The sequence below is a fragment of the Homo sapiens genome, chromosome 2, assembly GCF_000001405.40.
Source record: "Homo sapiens chromosome 2, GRCh38.p14 Primary Assembly".
NCBI classification, from domain to species: Eukaryota; Metazoa; Chordata; class Mammalia; order Primates; family Hominidae; genus Homo; species Homo sapiens.
The window spans coordinates 10,327,959-10,345,789 of NC_000002.12; the positions used below are offsets into that span (position 1 = coordinate 10,327,959).

A 17,831-nucleotide genomic window follows, 5' to 3' on the forward strand; every position below is an offset into this window, starting at 1 on the left:
CGCATTAGATTTAGTAAGTGTAAAAGACTTAAGTTGAGGTCATTTCTGTCCACAAGCTGTTCATGGTGTAGCTGTTCATGTAGCTCAGCTGTGGGAATGGCCTGGCCCTATGTGATGCGGAAAGACAGCCAAGGGGGACAGTGGCACATGCCTGTGGCACTTGGTTCTGTGTGTGGTCTCCTTTGTATCCCCAGGAACTCTCTGCAATAGGAAGGTGATGGCCAGGATCTCATTTTACAGAGGAGGACACTGAGGCCCAGAGAGGTTAAGTGACTTGTCTGAGGGTTAACAGCTCCTGGGTGGCAGGATTTACATTGGCGCTCAGATGCATCTGAACCCCAACCTGGAGTGGTGCCAGCACAGAGCAGGTGTTCAGTAATGTTTGCTGACCTATGTGATGGTTAATATCATGCGTCAGCCTGACTGAGCCAAGGGATGCCCAGGTAGCTGGTAAAGCATAATTTCAAGTTGTGTCTGGGAGGGAGTTTCTGGAAGAGACTGGCACACTGAGTAAGGATCTGCCCTCACCAGTGTGGGTGGATATCATCCAATCATTGAGAACCCAGCTAGAACAAAAATGTAGAGAAAGAGTGAATGTGCTCTCTCTGCTTGAGCTGGGACACCCACCTTCTGCTGCTCTTGGACATGGAGCTCCCGGTTCTCAGGCCTCTGGGCTTGAGCTGGAGTGACTCCACCGGCTCTCCTGAGTCTCCAGCTTGCAGACAGTAGGTCTTGCGACTCTTCAGCCTCCATAATAACATGAACCAATTCCTCATAATACATTTCTGTCTGTTTATTTCTATATATTTATTGGCTCTGTTTCTCTGAAGAACCCTGACTAATACTTCCCCATCTGAACTTTCTCTGCCCCTTTTGTTCGACATGTGGGGGGTTGCTGGGGAAGCTAATTAGAATACAGGTTCCTGCTGACACCCCACCCCCACTCCCTTCCTTCATCAAGATCACTAGTGGTGAGCCTTTAAATGCCTGTAAGCTGTCCGAGGGGTTCTTCCTAAATTAAATTAAATTTTTAATTTTAATTACTTAATTTTTTTGAGATGGGATCTTGCCGTGTTGCCCAGGCTAGTCTCCAACTCCTGGGTTCAAGTGTCCTCCTGCCTCGGCCTCCCAAAGTGCTAGGATTACAGATGTGAGCCGCCACTGTTGGTCTCTAGGGGTTCTTATGCACCTAGAATTTAGAGACTCATTGCTCCAAGCTTCATTGAATCTTTCCTGAACAGTCTTGTGATAGGCGGGATAACTCCCACCCCTCAGATGCTCACATCCGAATCCCTGGGACCTGCGGATATGTTGCCTTATACGGTAAAGGGCTTTGCTATGTGATGAAGATTGAGGACCTTGAGGTGGGGACAGTATCCTGGATTACCAGGGTGTAGTCACTGTATTCATGTAAGTCCATAAAAGTAAGGAACCTGTCCCAGCTGCAGTGAGCCCGAGGGAGGTGTGACTCTGGAAGAAGACGCAGAGATGAAACACTGCTGGCTCTGCTGACAGGAATGGCTTTGAGCCAGAGTGTGGTGGCCTACAGAGGCTGGAAAAGGCAAGGGAACAGATCCACCCTTAGGTCCCCCAGAGGAACCAGCCCTACTGACACAGTCTCCGTGGGACCTGTGTCCACAGACAGAACTGTATGAAAACACGATTGTGGTGTGTAAGCCACTAGGTTGATTTGTTACAGCAGTGACACCGGGCTTTGTCTCTGCTTTTGACTTTTCCTCCAGTGTGATCCCTTCCCCTGCTTCTGACCCGTGGATCCCAGCCCTGCCCAGGCCCAGATCCTGGGCTCCAGGTGGGCCTGGGTTGGGGCTCCCAGCTGCAGGAATGCAAAGTTCATGGTTCTACAAAGTGCTTTGAGGTGACGTTGGTCACATCAGCTCGGCCTCAGATTTGCTGCTTTTTTTCTAAAGAAGAGACAGCTCCAGGCCCTGCCTGACTGACCTAGTTGGGGATGCAGGCCGAGGCCATATCGAGCAGGGTAAGTTTCCAAGAATCTGGCTTTAGGATTAGTCGGGCCACACGGAAGGAGTTCCTGGTCTCGTGACACCTGCACAAATGGTCTTCAACCCTCAAAACACTTCCTGTTATTTAAATCTTGGTCCTTTGATTTTTTTTTTTTTTCCTTTTAGAGACTATGCACAATTTATGTGGCAAGCTAGAGATGCTTTCTTTTTCAGAGCGGCCTTTATGCTGTGTTCGGGGCTGTCTGTCGGCGCCACAGGGAATGGGGGCTGGTGAGTCGTGCTCAGAAGGTCCCAGTCTAGATGCTTCTGACATGGACAAAAGGAGAATTCCTGACTTTTTGGTGGATGTTTGCAATTCCCAGAATGCTTATTCTTATTTAGTCCTCATAGGAGAGTGGCGAAGGGCAGCAGCTTTGGAGCAAGGGCCACCCTGCCCCTCCCCACCAAGCCCTGAGTCGTCTAACCTTCCCGGTGTATTAGTCAGCTCTGGCTGCTGGAAACGGGGTCATAGTCTGGGTGCCTTAAACAACAGGAATTCTTTTTTTTTTACAGTATTGGAGGCTGATGTCTGAGACAGGGTGGCGGCAGGGTTGGTGTCACCCGAGGCCTCTCTCCTCGGCTCCGTGTAGCCCTTTCTCCCTCTGTTCTCACACGGCCATCCCTCCGAGTGTGTCTGAGTCCCAGTCTCCTTGTGAGGACACCAGCCCTAGATCAGGAGCCACGCAGTGACCTCATTTTACCTTCATGACCTCTTCAAAGTCCCTGTGTCCAAATACAGTCACATCTGGAGGTAGTAAGGATTGGGGCTTCCACATAGGGGTTTTGTGGGGGACACACTCAGTCCACGTTAACTCACTTCCTGCCCACGGCAGGGGCTCTCTGTCAGTGTGTCTCCGACTGCGGACCCCGATCATCTTTGTGAGAATGCAGGTTCCCAGGCCCACACCGTGCTGGTTGAGTCAGAGCTTCTGGGTGCAGCCTGGGGGTGCAGCAAGCCCACCCCTGCATTCGGAGAGCCTTAGCGGGAAGCCTGTTGCTTGTGCCTCCTTTGCAGCCCCGGCCTCTCCAGTTCTCTGTGTCTTGCCATCTTGGCTTCTTCCTCATCCCGCCTCTCGCTCCATCTCGTGGCCTCCCATCTGCTCTCCCGGCTGCAGGAGCGGTTTCTCTAAGCCTTGCAAGTGACCGCACCCTCTTACTGCATGCGGGCCTTGCCAAGAGCCTGCAGAGGGCGGGGCGGGCTCTGGGGACAGCCTGGACTCTCCTGCCTGCCCCCAGGTGCCCCCGGCCCAGCCACAGGGTGCTGGCTGCCTGTTACTCAGCACGTCCGCCTCTCCTGCCTCCTGAGCCCACAGGCGCCCTTCCTGTCACCCGAGCGCCCTCTCCTTCCTCACCTCGCCACCTACGCATCGTCACCCCTCCTCCTGCGTTTCCTCCTGTCTCCCCGGGGAGCTCGGAGTTCTGCAGGCACGGGGCTGGCTCCTTTCTTCATGTCCCTTGTCCCACAGGACACCGTTTCTGAACCCAGGAGACACTCAGGAAACCTTGCTGGTGGAACGGATGCAGCAGCGAGGTTTTCCGGGGCAGGAACACCCTCCCAGGAGCTTTTCCACGGCCAAGCGCTGGCTGGTGGTGGAGCTGCGCTGAAGTCAGTGTGTGCTTTGGGCCCAGCTGCACTGTGCCCGGGGTCCAGGGATGGGTGTGAGGCTGTCTGCCCCCCACTGCACGCCCGGCTGTCAGAGGCATCTGTCTCTTCCCCCGCATGCATCTTTCTCCCCGTCTGGCATGGTGTTTCTAGTCTTTTGTGGATGGGGACATAAACAAGCCGCCATCAACTGCTTGGTGACATTGGCCAATCCTGTGGTGGCCCCAGCTGGGCTTGCTGCCTGTGTGTGGTGAGGGTGCCCTTCTTGTCACCCGTTGTCATTTACGAGACAGCCCTGTGTCACCTGTTGATTCAGAGGGAGCTCTCCTCATCACCTGTTGTCATTTATGAGCCCCGTGTCACCTGTTGTTGCTTCACAGGGAGCACTCCTTGTCACCTATTGTCATTTATGAGCCCCGTGTCACCTGTTGTTGCTTCACAGGGAGCACTCCTTGTCACCCATTGTCATTTATGAGCCCTGTGTCACTTGTTGCTTCAGAGGGAGCGCTCCTTGTCACCCGTTGTCAGGTGTACTCACTTTGCTTCTCCCTTCCTGCTTTTGGGGACGATCACAGGACAGTGGCTTCAGAGGGGAAGTACCTCGACCTGGCTGAGGTCATGCCCAGAGCCTGACTGCTCTCTCCACCCACCCATGATCCCGTCAGCTTCTTCCCCCTCCTTCTCCATCTGATCTGAGCATTTACCATTTCCTTCCATTTAAGCTTCATTTGAGTTGCATCATGATGTTCTCCTTTTTTCAAAGTTCCATCTGCCCACAGGTTTCCATTTTCTCTAGAACCCTCCTCCTTCCTCTCTAGCCCCTGGCCCGCCCCTCTGCGGTTCTCAGGAAGCCCCTCGGTGCCCCCTGCCCCTTATCTAGAACAGCTTCTGCCTAGGGTGGGCAAGGCAGGGTGGGAGGTGGGGGGTAGCCGTGCAGGGAAGGGGTGAAGCGGGCCCCTGTACTCCCTAGCTGGGCTGCAGGCTTGGAGGAAAATAAGAGTCAGACGCTTGTTAAAACAGTGAGGACAGCTTTATTCGAGGAAAATGCAGTCGGGGTTGACCTTATCAGCAGGGGAGAGATCAGCCCAACTCCTAATACAGCAAGGAAGGGACAGAGCTGGGAAGTGGAGTGGGCTGGGTGAGTGGAAAGTAGCTGCGAGAAGACATCACAGGTAGGGGGATTCTTGCCAAAGGCAGGGGGGGACTTTGATGTCAAAGGTGGGGATGAGGACTGATTGGATCTCAAGGGTGGTCAGATGTGAAGGGCGTGAGAGGCTCACTAAACTGACTAAGCAGGATTCTTGCTGAGACTGGGCCAGGCAGGCTGAAGACAGGAGGCAGAAAGAGGGCTCAGAGGAGCCTGAGTGAAGTTTGATCTTGGGGTGAGGGGTGCAGGGGGGAGGGGCAGGGTGGGTCTTTGTTGGGGCTCTGTGGGAGATTTCAGGGCTCACTGGATGTGTGGGGCACAGTGGGCCCTGCCTGAGCCCCATGACGCCTGGACGCTGCCACCAGGGGCCTGACCTGCTGACGATCTCTGCACTGGGTCTTTAATCAGCCTCTTGGGCATTGTAAATGCTAGACAAAGATTCTTCTCTTTTTAAAGTTTACTAATTTCCCTACGATAAAACTAATGCATTTTCACAGGAGAGACTCGGGAAATTACCAAGGAGCGTGAATCAGGTGGTCACAGTGAATTGTGGATGTTTGTGTCTGTCTTGGGGAACTGGTGTAACGTTTCTCCATCTGACCCCTGCTGTCTGTTGGAGGTCAAGGAGCCAGCCTGGCCTCACAACTTCCTCCTTTCAGCAAAGTCAGGAGGCCATTCCCTCCAGGGATGGGTGGGCTGCAGCCTCTTGGCACCTCTCGGGATCCTGCTGGCAGATGTATCACCGTAGCCCAAGCCAGCCTAAGCCAGCCTCCTGTGGCCCAGCACCTTCTCTTCCCACGTGGGCAGCTGTGTTCCCAGGCAAACCTTCCTGGAATTGCTCTGTGCTCTCAGAGCTGGTGTGCTTTGGTGTTCAGCTGTGGCCATTTTGGCTTTGAGTTTGATTTGATTTTTGAAGAAAGTTTTTATTTCTTTACCCAAATATTCTATGTCTCTTTGGTAAGACTGGAAAACACAGAAAAACAGAGAAAAAAATTCCCCCATAACTACCCTGCCCACCTCCATATAACTTTTATTAGCATTCTGAGCTATACCCCTCCAGACTCATTTCTGCCTCTCCAGAAGTGTGCATAAAGTCTAGAAACATAGGTGAAGAGACCTAATGCCATCAAGAACATCAACCTGTAAAGGAATAAAATAATGTCATCTGTGTCCAGATTTTACAGATGCTTTGTAGATATGTGTAACAGAAATGTGGGTATGTTTTAGCAAAAATAAGACCATATTTTTGTTTTATTTTGATTGATTGTACTATAAATTCCAGTAGAGCATTACAGAGCCAGCCCAAGCCCATCTCTCCTCTTCTCTACTCTTTTCTTTCCCCAGTGACCAATAGCCACTCTGCGGAGGGAAGTAGGGATCATATTTGTGCGCGTTTTACGCTCTTGCTACACATGTGCGTAACCTTAAACAAAACATTAGTTTTTATGTGTTAGAAATACTCATAAATGGTGGCCCAGGCATGGTGGCTCACGCCTGTAATCCCAGCTCTTCGGGAGGCTGAGGCAGGAGGAGGCTTGAGGCCTGGAATTCAAGACCAGCCTGGGCAACATAGCAAGACCCTGTTTTGTTTTGTTTTGTTTTTTAAACAAACAAAAAAACCAACAACAGTTAGGTGGGTGCAGCATCATGTACCTGTAGTCCCAGCTCTTCAGGAGGCTGAGGTGGGAGGCTCTCCTGAGCCCAGGAGTTTGGGGTGATAGTGAGCTGTGGTCACACCACTGTACTCCAGCCTGGATGATGGAGTGGAGTGAGACCTTGTCTTTAAAAAAAAAGAAAAGAAAACAGAAAGAAATACTCATAAATGGTATATATATATATCACTTTGTAATTTGTTCTTGACTACTTTGTCAACAATTTTTAAGCTGTATCCATGTTGATACATAGATGTGGTTCATGGTCTTCTTTTTTCTCCTTTTTGTTAACTGCTGTATACAATTCCATTGACTTTTTTTTGAGGCAGGGTCTCGCTCTGTTACCCAGGCTGGAGTGCAGTGGCACGATCTCGGCTCATTGCAACTTCCACCTCCCAGGCTCAAGCAATCTTCCCACCTCAGCCTCCCAAGTAGCTAGGACTACAGGTACATGCCTGGCTAATTTTTGTATTTTTTATAGAGTCAGGGTTTTGCCAAGTTGCCCAGCCTGGTCTTGAACTCCTGAGCGCAAGTGAGCCACCTGCCTTGGCCTCCCAAATTGCTGGGATTACAGGCGTGAGCCACTGTGCCAGCCCCCATTGTCTAAATAAGCCATCGTTTCTCTAGTCATATACAGTTAGGTCACTTCCATTTTTTCATTAGTATAAAGAGTGCCATATGAATATTGATCCTCCTTGAGTGCTGTGGAAGGAAGCCTCTAAGATGCCGCCACTGGTCCCCACATCCTGGTCTTCACACCCTTGTGTAATCCCTTCCCTCGGGTGTTGGCTGGACTTAACTGACTTGATTCTAACAAATAGAACACAGCAGGAGGAATGGGACATCACTTCTGACATCAGGTTATAAAAAGACTGCAGCTGCCAGCTTGGGTGTTCTCTGTTGCCCTCTTGGATTGCCAGCCCTGGAGGGAGCCAGATGCCATGTCTCAAGGCAGTCCTGTGGAGAGGCAGGCCTAGGTGACAAGGGACCAAGGCCTGCCAACAGCCATGTGAGTGAGCTTGGAAGCAGATCTCCATCCGCTCCCCACTCCCAGCTGAGCCTTCGGATGAGACTGCTGCCCTGAAAACAGCAAAGGGGAACCTCATGAGAGACCTTGAGCCAGATTCCCAGCCCAGAGAAATTGTGAGATAATGTTTGTTGTTTTCGGCTGCTGACTTTTGGAGGGTCATTTGTTACACGGTAACAGATAACCAATACGAGCACACCCTGAGAATTCCTTAGAGGTCTAGAATATTTAGCAGTGGAATTGCCAGGTGCTATGGTATTCTCACGCTCAACAGTACTGTTTATTACTAAATTCATCTCCAAGGCATTTGTGGCAGTTTCACTCCCCTCTACAAGGGTCAGTGAGCTCCTTTTCCTCATACCTCTCCGGCACTTGTGTTGTCAGACTTTAACATCTGAACACTCTGATGGGTGTAAAATAGTATCTCATGATTATTTGAATTTGTACTTCCCTAAGTTCTAGTGAAGTTGGACATATTTTCGATACATTATTGTCCTTTCTGCTTTCCTCTGCTGTAAATTAATTGCATGTTCGTATCCTCTGCTGTAAATTAATTGCATGTTCATATCCTCTGCTGTAAATTAATTGCATGTTCGTATCCTCTGGTGTAAATTAATTGCATGTTCATATCCTCTGCTGTAAATTAATTGCATGTGCGTATCCTCTGCTGTAAATTAATTGCATGTGCGTATCTTCTGCTGTAAATTAATTGCATGTTCGTATCCTCTGCTGTAAATTAATTGCATGTTCGTATCCTCTGCTGTAAATTAATTGCATGTGCGTATCCTCTGCTGTAAATTAATTGCATGTGCGTATCCTCTGCTGTAAATTAATTGCATGTTCATATCCTTTGTCCAGTCTCCTTTTGGGTGGATTATCTTTTTCTTAGTGATTTGTAGATTTTCTTTTTTTCACTCTAGAGACTAATCCTTTGTCAGTTCATGCTATTTTATACTCTGCTTTTTTCAGTTAGCAGCGTATTGAGAATGTTCTTCTATGCCAATGTATACATCATTTTATTGACATTCCATTGTGGAGATGGGTCATTTATTTATTTAGGTGGACGTGTAGGTTGTTTGCACTTTTGCATTAGTAGGAACATGACTGTGTGTCGGTCAGCTGGGCTATGCTCTGGTACTAATGACCCTCCAAATCTTAGTGGTTTGCAGCAATGAAGAATTCTTTGTCCCTCAAGTGACATGACCATCACCTGTTGGTTGTGGCTCTGCTCTATGACGTTGTCCCTCAGGGAGCCAGGCTTTCAGAGCAGCCCCATCTGAGACATTGCTGGTCTCATGGCAGAGGGAAAAAAGATGGTGGAACAACATAATTCTATTTCTGTTTTTCCTCTTTAGAGACAGGATATTGCTGTGGCACCCAGGCTGCAGTGCTCTGGTGCTATCATAGCTCACTGCAGCCCCGGAATCATGGGCACAAGTGGTCCTCCTGCCTCAGCTTCCCAAGTAGCTGAGACTATAGGTATGCACCACCACACCTGGGTAATTTTTACTTTTTATATTTTTCGTAGAGATGGGGGCCTTGTTATGTTGCCCAGGCTGGTCTTGAACTCCTGGCCTCAAGTGTTCTTCCCACCGCAGCCTCCCAAAGTGCTGGGATTACAGGTGTGAGCCACTGGACCCGGCAGGAACAATATACCTCTTAAAGCTTCTGCTCAGACGTGGGAATGGCTATGTGGTGCGTGTCAGTTCCCCTCACATTGCATTGGCTGAAGCAAACCCTGGGGCCCAACCAGTGTTGGCGGGGTTAGAAGTAGACCCCTCCCATAGGGAGGCCAGGGAGGGAGGATTTTGAGCCAAGACCACTCACCACGTGCTGTGATGAGCAGTTGCCTCCCCCTCCTTTCGTGTCTTCGTGCCTCCTCACGTATTCTTACAAGTAGAATTGCTACATTAGGAATATGCATATTTGTAAAGTATTTACTATTTATTATGTCAGCTAGGTTTTAACTGTCACTGCATTTGCTGTGAATTATAGGTAATTATTCATCCTGATGACCATTTAAAAAAGAAGAACAATATTATTAGGTAGAAATAGTCCCTGGCTCCCCGGTTGCCCACCGTGACTATAACAGCATATCTAGCTTGGTAGTTTTCAAATTATTTCCACGTTTTATTTACTTCTCACAGCCTCCCTGTGGGGTTGCAGGTGCTTCTCCACTCCTCCACTGACAAGGTGCCTGAGGCTCAGAGAGGCTGAGAAATGTGCTCTGGGCTGCACAGCTGGGGATGAGGCGTAGACCCTGGCCCTGCTCTGTTCTGGGCTCTTTCTCCTCCACTCTGGCCTTTGGAGGCTGTGGCTAAGATCTTCCCCCAGCCCCTTCCTTCCCACCTTCCCTTCCTGCTCTTGTGCCCCGTTTTTCACAGTCCTCAGTGGCTGGTTTCTCAGTCCCCCAGGAGGTGCAGGCTGGTTCTTAGGAATGGTCTCTGTCAATGTTCCCGGCAGTACCTCCGAGCCTGCCCTCTGAGGATGGGTCGGCCATGGCTGCGCCGGCTTAGTCTGTATTTAGGTATCACTGACTATCACTGGACTTGGGGAGGGGATTTACTATTTTTAGAGAAAGTCAGGGGAGCTCCATAAATCCTGTTAGTCAACAGAACTGCAGAGAGGTGGCTGTTTATGAAGGAGAGTGACTTTTTTAGAAGTGGCGCATTTAGAAGACCACATATTCTATCATTCTGTGTACATGAGCGGTGCAGAATAGGCAATTCTAAAGAGACAGAAAATAGATTCGTGATTGCAGGGAGTGGGGAGGAGGGATGGGAAGCGACTCCTAAGGGGCACGGGGTTTCTTCTGGGGGTAATGAAAAGCGTTCTGGAATTAGATAGTGGTGGTGGCTGTAGGACCTGGTGAATAATAAACTGAAAATCACTGAATCGTACCCCTTAAAAACACACAAAGCAAATTGACAAATTATTGGGAGGCAACATAAGAGAATGGGGTGTGAACTTTGGATCAGTGCGGCCTGGATATCAGCTGTGTGGTGTTCAAATAGATTGCATAACCTCGTTGAGTCTCAGTCTTCCCATCTGTGAAGTAGGGATCATTCCTACTTCGTAGGGTTGGCATGAGACTCCGTGAGATGAAGTTGGTGGGTCACTTGGCTGGGGCAGGTGTCACGGAGCGGGACCTGTGATTGTTCAGCCACCTACTCTGTGCCCAGTGCTGTGTTGGTGACCAGGTATGTATGAAGTCAGTAAGCCACAGTCCTGAGTTATGGTGCAGACCCCACATGCACCCAGAGTCAGCTTGGCAAGACCCCTTGACACCACGTGCGTGGAGGGTGCAGGTCGGAGAGCTCACCTCCATGGATTCCGTAGAGCTTTGAGGCGTATCCACAAAGTGTCCAGGAGAGGTGGCGTCGCCTCCACTTGATAGAGGAAAAAGCAGAGATGGAGGCAGCCAGAAGCATGGTGCAGTGGTGGGGTTTGGTCATTAATTTGATAATCACATGGAATACAAGCTAATGTTTATTGAGTACTTACTGCCTGCCTGCTACTGTAACTAAGTGCTTTACTCCTGTTATCTCATTTAATTCTCAAAGCAGCCCTGTGGCACTGAGGTGGCTGGAGATGGAGGGATGTGTGGCTGCCATGTGTTTGCCAGGAAGCAGCAGGATGGGAGTGAGGGCACAGACAGACACACATGCCAGGACTTGTTTGCACGAAGCTGAGGAATGGGTGCCCATCATTCATTATACTCATCTCTCTGTTTTATGTATATTTGAAAAAAAAATTTTTTTTGAGATAGGGTCTCGCTGTGTCACCCAGACTGGAGGGCAGTGGCATGATCTCGGCTCACTGCAACCTCCACCTCCCGGGTTCAAGTGATTCTCCTGCCTCAGCCTCTGGAGTAGCTGGGATTACAGGTGGGCGCCACCATGCCCACCTAATTTTTTTTTTTTTTTGAGACCTGTCACCCAGGCTGGAGTGCAGTGGTGCGATCTCGGCTCACTGCAACCTCCGCCTCCCGGGTTTAAGCAATTCTCTGCCTCAGCCTCCCCAGTAGCTGGGATTACAGGCACATGCCACCATGCCCGGCTAATTTTTGTATTTTTAGTAGAGACGGGATTTCATGCCTGATTAATTTTTTTGTATTTTTAGTAGAGACAGAGTTTCACTATGTTGGCCAGGCTGGTCTTCAACTCCTGACCTCAAGTCATCTGCCTGCCTTGGCCTCCCAAAGTGTTGGGATTACAGGCGTGAGCCACCGCGCCCAGCCATATTTGAACTCTTTTACAGTAAAAAGTTTAAAAAACAACAATCCTATGAGGTAGGTCCTCTTATTTGTGCTTTACAGATGGGGAAATTGAGGCTCAGAGCATGTAAGATTACACAGCAAGATTCGGAGATAGCTCGCCATGTTCATGCCCGGCAGGACGTAGCAACAGGGCTGGCGAAACGGAGGCCCCAGGCTTGTGGGCCTCCTGGGGTTCCTGTGCGTTGAGGCCTGAGCCCCTGCGTGCGCCCAGCGGAGCCAGCACTCTCCCTGTGGTCCTACTGGGCATCACAGGTGTGTATGTGAGGGGTATGGGGAGGGGATTCTTGGTTAGTCTGGGCTTCATGACATTGGGATGAGTTCTTTCACTTGGTTTTGTTGATCTGGTAAAATCTGTGGTCCTGTGATATCACCTTGCTTCTCATAGTATGAGCCTTCAACATTTGGCCTCAGTGGTGGGGTGTGCCTGCACCGCCTTCCCCCATCCCTGCCTCGGCTCCTCCCCACAACAAAGCGGAAGGAAGACATAGACCCAAGGGTGCACTTCAGCCCCTCAACCAGCTGTGTGGCTTTGGAGAAGCGGCTTAACATCTCTGATCCCAGTTACCTTTCTTGAACGGGAAAGATATCAATGCTTCCTTCACTGATTACTGGAGCTTCTTGGTGTGCAGTGTCTAGGCTGCTTTCTAACCATGTAAGGTGTAGCCACAGTATTGTAGGACCTGTTGCTAAGAACTGTGCCACTATCTTGATAAACATGTTTTCCAGGGACTGGTGGTGGAATGTTCTAGTTATTAATGTGCCTTTAACGTTGGATGACTCAGAATATCCCTCAGATAGTAGGAATAGGTAGCTTTGAGAGGTCATCTGTAGGAGGGCGCAGGAACATCCCAGGAGGGGGTGTCATACCTGTTGGCACCATGGGGATGCAGGCTCAGAGGGGACTGAACTTTCCAGGGCCACGCAGTCTGTAAGCGGCAGAGCTGGGACGCAACCCCAAGCTTGCTGCTCTCAAAGCTTTGCTTTCAAACTCTCACTTCAGACATCAGGGCTTCCTTTCAGACTGAGTCTTATCCCTAAGCACTGTTGGAGAAGAAAGTCTCCAGGCTGCAGGGCCCCGCAGTTCCCCCATATCCCTGCCCTTCCAGCCAGCCCACGCCTGGGGCCTGTCCTCCCCTGTTCCTGAATCCCTGTCCTGTTACTGCCCTCCGGGTAAGACAGCACTCTTATAATCATGCTTCATGCCGAGTTCATGAAATTAACTCTCAAACTCCTCTTCTCTGGGTTAAATTATTTCACTTTTTTCCCTTCCTCATAGAATATCATTATAAATTCTAGATACTATATTGGATATGTAATAAAATCAGAATAAATTACATGTGATGGCCACTGAACTAACCTCCCTTCATGTGTCTGGAGGCAGGTTTTCTGTGGAGTTATGCTTTAAATTGGCTGTCCTTCGCGATTTTTCTTAAAGCCTAGGTTGACTACTCAAGGGTCTAGATTTATGATAGAAACTGTGGGCTGGGGTGCAGTGCTGGGGTGCTGGGGTGCCTGTAATCCTAGCACTTTGGGAGGCTGAGGTGGGCGGATCATTTGAGCCCAGGAGTACAAAACCATCCTGGGCAACACGGTGAAACCCCATCTCTACAAAAAAATACAAAAATTAGCCAGACACGGTGGTGCATGCCTGTACTCGGGAGACTGAAGCGGGAGGATCACCTGAGCCCAGGAAGTCGAGGCTGCAGTGAGTCATGATTGCGCCACTGCACTCCAGCCTGGGCAACAGAGCAAGACCTTATCTTAAAAGCAACAACAACAACAACAAATTGTGGCACAAATGTATGCATGGAGGTACTGAGGGCCTTCTTTATAGTAGGCTCAGGAATGACCAATGGGTGGGGGCTTTGGGGGAAGAGACGGGGGTCTTTAAGCAGAAACTCTCCCCTCAACACAAGAAAGCTGCTGAAGGACTTCAGAAACCTAAACACGAGCCGTGGGCCTTTCTAAAGTGGGGAGGGATTCCCTCCTGCCTAGGTTATGTTGCAAGGCTGCCCGAGAGAGGGTGGAAGGGGGCAGGAGAGTGGGCATTGGCTGGGTCCAACGCTTCCCAAGAGATGTGACTGTCTTAAAAGCAATACCTTCCTGATTACCACGGGAAAAATTCAAATGTTTTGAAAAGATCTACAAGTTTGGGGTTGAAGAAGTCCTTTATTTCAAAGTTTCTCTGGGCTGGGCGTGCTGGCTCACACGTGTAATCCCAGCACTTTAGGAGGCTAAAGTGGGAGGATCACTTGAGGATTGCTTTGAGGCCAGCCTGGGCAACATAGTGAGACTCTGTCTCTAGATAAAGTTTTTTTTTTTTTTTTAAATTAGCCAGATGTGGTGGTGGTGTGCTCCTGTAGTCCCAGCTACTTGGGAGGCTAAGTTGGAAGGATGACTTGAGCCCAGGAGGTTGAGGCTACAGTGAGCTCTGATTGTGCCGCTGTGCTCCAGCCTGGTGACAGAGTGGACCTTGTCTGTAAAAATAATAATAATAATAATAAAGCTTTGCTCCCCGTTTCATTTAGATGGAGCGTTTGTGGGATTTAAGACAGATTTTTCCTTGCTGAGTGGTTATCATTAACCTGTTGAATAAGCAACAGGCCGAGGTGGGGACCCTGCCTCGCCCGCCTCCAGGGGCACACTGCATTCTTTGTGGAAGTGTCCCTGGAATGCCACAGCCCTGCTTCTGTGCGAGGCCAGTCAGTCTGGGTCCTGGGATATAGCCACATGTGCAGTCCGTGCCTCCAGCGCGCAGCCTGAAAGGGAGGCGTGCAGAAACAACGTAGCTCCAAGGAGGACTGATCAGCCCAGCCTGGGGGAGGGTGGGAGGGGACTCCCAGGGAGCGGGGCTTGTGCTGGACTTTGCAGGATGCCAGACTTTTGGCAGGGGAGGAAATTGAGGTGAAAGCATTCCAGGCCTAGGGAACAGCATGTGCAGAGGTGCTGGCTGGAGGAACCCCGTGTGTTTGCACTGTGCTCTGAGCTCCCTCTCATGACTCTCATTCTTTCTCGTTGAGTTTTGTTTTGTCACCCAGCCGGACTCCTGGGCAAAGAGAGGCACAATCTGTTCCCGGTTGGGCCAGCTGCCCTCCAGTAGCTACGCAGGATGCTCTGGCCGGCCTCTGAGGATTCTCTTCTTCTGTCCATCTCATGGCTGAAGACCAAGGCTATGGCCTGTGGGTGGCAGTTGGTACCTCTCCCCGCTGCCTTCCCCCGGCCCCTTTTTGGACAGGATGTTGCTCCCTGGGGCCTGGCTTTGGAGATGGCCAGTGCTGGTTTGAAGCTTCTGTCTTCTGTGTGGGATATCAGTGCCCTGCCAGCTGTTGCAAGTTTTAAACTCAATGTGCCTCTGGATGTGTGTGTAGAGTAGGGGTCCTTCCCCAGCTCCAGGCCCTGTGTGTTTCCAAGTGGGCCCGCAGCTCTGATGTGCAGTGGGTATGCACTGGCAAGCCGTGCACTGTCACAATATTAAAATAACTTCCATGGTAGTTGGTAAATAGCCCCATCACCCCTCTCCTGGGACCCTGGACCTCTAGCACACCATGGAGGCCTGCCCCGTCCCCATAAAACACACCACATTCAAATTACTTATCTCCTCTTCCCCTGCCACTCTGCTGAGAAGGCTGATCTCAATCCTCGGAGTAATGACTCTCTTCTAGGAGCAAGATGATGCTAATTCTCACTAGCATGTGAAGGACTGATAGCACCATATCTCCCTCCAGGACTCCCGGGTGGGAGGTGGGTGTTTGCATAGGCAGGCAGGTGAGCCAGCCTAGTTTGTCCACAGACTTCCATGCAAGTGATTCCTGCTGTTCCCTGGGTCTTCCTTTCTTTTGCTTCTGAACTTGGAGGTTTCTTGAAGTCTGGAGGATTTTTAGGGTGGGCATGGCTTTAGGTGGGACCTCCACTATATGGGTTTGCAAGCTGCCACTGCTTTGACTGCAGACACTGGATTGACCGTGGCCAATGCCAAGTCCAAGAGATCAGGCTGAAACCAGGCTAAATTTTAAGAGCAGAAACAAAACTCATCCTTGCGAAGGGACTTTTAGATCAGTGGCAGATGGCATAGAAAGTCTTTCTGCTGTTCTCTTGTGCTGGGCGTGGCTCAGGGCTGAGGGGAGAGAGGAGAGATGAGGGCAGAAAGAGAAGAGGGGGCAGGCCTCAGGGATGAACACATGGCCCATGGCTGTGCGCTTCCCAAGCAAGCAGTTCTGGAGTGAGGCTTGGGCCTCCATGCCTCCTGGGAGGCTGCACCTCTTGGGATATAGAGAACGCTGGCTTCAGACCCGGCAGGAGTACCGGCGGCTGTGTGGTGCATCCTGCACAGAGCTGTTGCTTTCTAACTGGGTTACTGAGCTGTCGAAGGAGCAGGGATGAAGACTCCCTTATTAAAAACTAAACAAAACACAACACGAAAAAGCCAGAACAAAACAAGCAGACGGTTGAGGACTGCAGTGAACTCATTAACCCTACAGCTTTGATCTCGAAGTCTCGGCCGCTCCTGGCTCAGAGGACCCTGGGGACGTGGTCTTTGATGCTTGCTTTCCCCATAGGCATCACTTCGACCAGCGTCTGTGTGGGGTGTGCAGCAGCCCTGAGCCAAGGATTAATTACGTAACAAGCCCAGATCCCATCCCTGCCTGAGCAGGCCATGTGCCAGCAAGGGGGGCCCCGAAGTGCCGCTAGGTGCCTCACGATTAGCATAAGGCCCGTTTATCCAGGAAGCCAGAACCAGTGCACATCTGTTAAGCGCATGCACCAAGCGGCGATTCCATAGTTGTATAGTGATTGTCTTTATGGAACTCCAGAATAGCTTCTTAGATATCACTCTTCAGGCCCTGAAATGGAGCCCTGTGCAAAGAAATGAAGAAAAGCTATCGGGGCATCTGCAGCCACTATTATACCATCTGGCAGCTCAGAAATATTTTATAATCAAATGAGTAAGACGGGCGTCCCACACTCCACAGTACTCTGCTCCCCCTTCCCTTCCTCCCAGGACTTGCTCTGTCTCTGTCTCTTTCTCTGTGTCTGTCTGTCTGTCTCTATGTGTCTGTTTCTCTCTCCCTCTTTCTGTGTGTGTCTCTCTCTGTGCCTGACTTTCTGTCTCTTTCTGCTTCTCTCTCTGTGTCTGTCTCTGTCTCTCTCTTTCTGTGTGTGTCTCTCTCTGTGCCTTTCAGTCTCTTTCTGCCTCTCTCTATGTGTCCGTTTCTCTTTCTCTCTGTGTGTCTCTCTCTCTGTGCCTTTCAGTCTCTTTCTGCCTCTCTCTATGTGTCCATCTCTCTCTCTTTTTCTGTGTGTCTCTCTCTCTGTGCCTTTCAGTCTCTTTCTGCCTCTCTCTATGTGTCTGTTTCTCTCTCTCTCTCTTTCTGTCTCTCTCTGTGCCTGTCTTGCAGTCTCTTTCTGCCTCTCTCTGTGTGTCTGTCTCTGTCTCTGTATGTGTCTGTCTCTGTTTCTGTCTGTCTTGCTCTCTCTGTTTCAATCTCTCTATCTCTGTGCCTGCCTGTCTGTCTGTCTCTTTCTTTCTGTCTCTCTGTGTGTGTCTCTCTCTCCGTCTTTGGGACAGACTAGAGGAACCTTTTTCCCAGGAGTGATAATACTGTACTCTGCGTTTTTGCCACTTGCTAGCTGGGTGACCTTGGGCGGCTTTCAAGTTCCCTTATCCTGGGTTTCTTCATTTGTAAAATGGAAGCACTACTTCACAGTGCTGTTGTGTGGGTCAAGATGAGATGAATGTGACCTACTGTGGTACTATTTATTATTTGTCCTAGAAAAACTTTTTTTTTTTTTTGAGACAGGGTCTTGCTGTCACCCAGGCTGGAGTGGTGGCACAATCTTGGCCTACTGCAACCTTGACTTCCCAGGCCCAAGCGATTCTCCCACCTCAGCCTCCCAAGAAGCTGGGACTACAGGTGTGAGCCACCACACCCAGCTAATTTTTGTATTTTTTGTAGAGACAGGGTCTTGCTATGCTGCCTGGGCTGGTCTCGAACTCTTGGGCTTAAGCGATCCTCTCACTTCAGCCTCCCAAAGTGCTAGGATTATAGGCATAAGCCACTGCACCCATCCAGAAAAACTTTTAAAAATTTTGTGTTTTAACTT

At 50.1% G+C, this 17,831-nt stretch overlaps 1 protein-coding gene across 16 annotated transcripts in view, besides 6 other annotated features; it reads left to right on the top strand.

Annotated features, from left to right (window-relative positions):
• HPCAL1 (hippocalcin like 1) overlaps positions 1 to 17,831 on the top strand; it is a 124,701-nt gene that overhangs the window by 25,055 nt on the left and 81,815 nt on the right. Inside the window, exon 1 of one of the 16 annotated variants that reach the window (NM_001258357.2) lies at positions 2,205 to 2,252. The exons of the other annotated variants lie outside the window; for them this stretch is intronic. The gene's annotated coding sequence lies outside the window, so the exon portion shown is untranslated. Of the gene's footprint in view, positions 1 to 2,204; positions 2,253 to 17,831 lie in introns of those variants that run through there. 16 annotated transcript variants of the gene reach the window in all.
• Positions 2,996 to 3,095: an enhancer, noted in NCBI's record as "active region_15301". NCBI's record gives its function as "activates an Ori minimal core promoter by ATAC-STARR-seq in GM12878 lymphoblastoid cells {active_cell/tissue: GM12878}" and the evidence as "EXISTENCE:reporter gene assay evidence [ECO:0000049][PMID:35858748]".
• Positions 3,206 to 3,255: a silencer, noted in NCBI's record as "silent region_11162". NCBI's record gives its function as "represses an Ori minimal core promoter by ATAC-STARR-seq in GM12878 lymphoblastoid cells {active_cell/tissue: GM12878}" and the evidence as "EXISTENCE:reporter gene assay evidence [ECO:0000049][PMID:35858748]".
• Positions 3,626 to 3,825: an enhancer, noted in NCBI's record as "active region_15302". NCBI's record gives its function as "activates an Ori minimal core promoter by ATAC-STARR-seq in GM12878 lymphoblastoid cells {active_cell/tissue: GM12878}" and the evidence as "EXISTENCE:reporter gene assay evidence [ECO:0000049][PMID:35858748]".
• Positions 3,626 to 4,242: a biological region, named in NCBI's record as "H3K4me1 hESC enhancer GRCh37_chr2:10471739-10472326".
• Positions 3,655 to 4,242: an enhancer, noted in NCBI's record as "H3K4me1 hESC enhancer chr2:10471739-10472326 (GRCh37/hg19 assembly coordinates)". NCBI's record gives its function as "activates a minimal SCP1, AML or CMV promoter by ChIP-STARR-seq in naive H9 embryonic stem cells {active_cell/tissue: H9 hESC(naive)}" and the evidence as "EXISTENCE:reporter gene assay evidence [ECO:0000049][PMID:30033119]".
• Positions 16,187 to 16,687: an enhancer, noted in NCBI's record as "H3K4me1 hESC enhancer chr2:10484271-10484771 (GRCh37/hg19 assembly coordinates)". NCBI's record gives its function as "activates a minimal SCP1, AML or CMV promoter by ChIP-STARR-seq in primed H9 embryonic stem cells {active_cell/tissue: H9 hESC(primed)}" and the evidence as "EXISTENCE:reporter gene assay evidence [ECO:0000049][PMID:30033119]".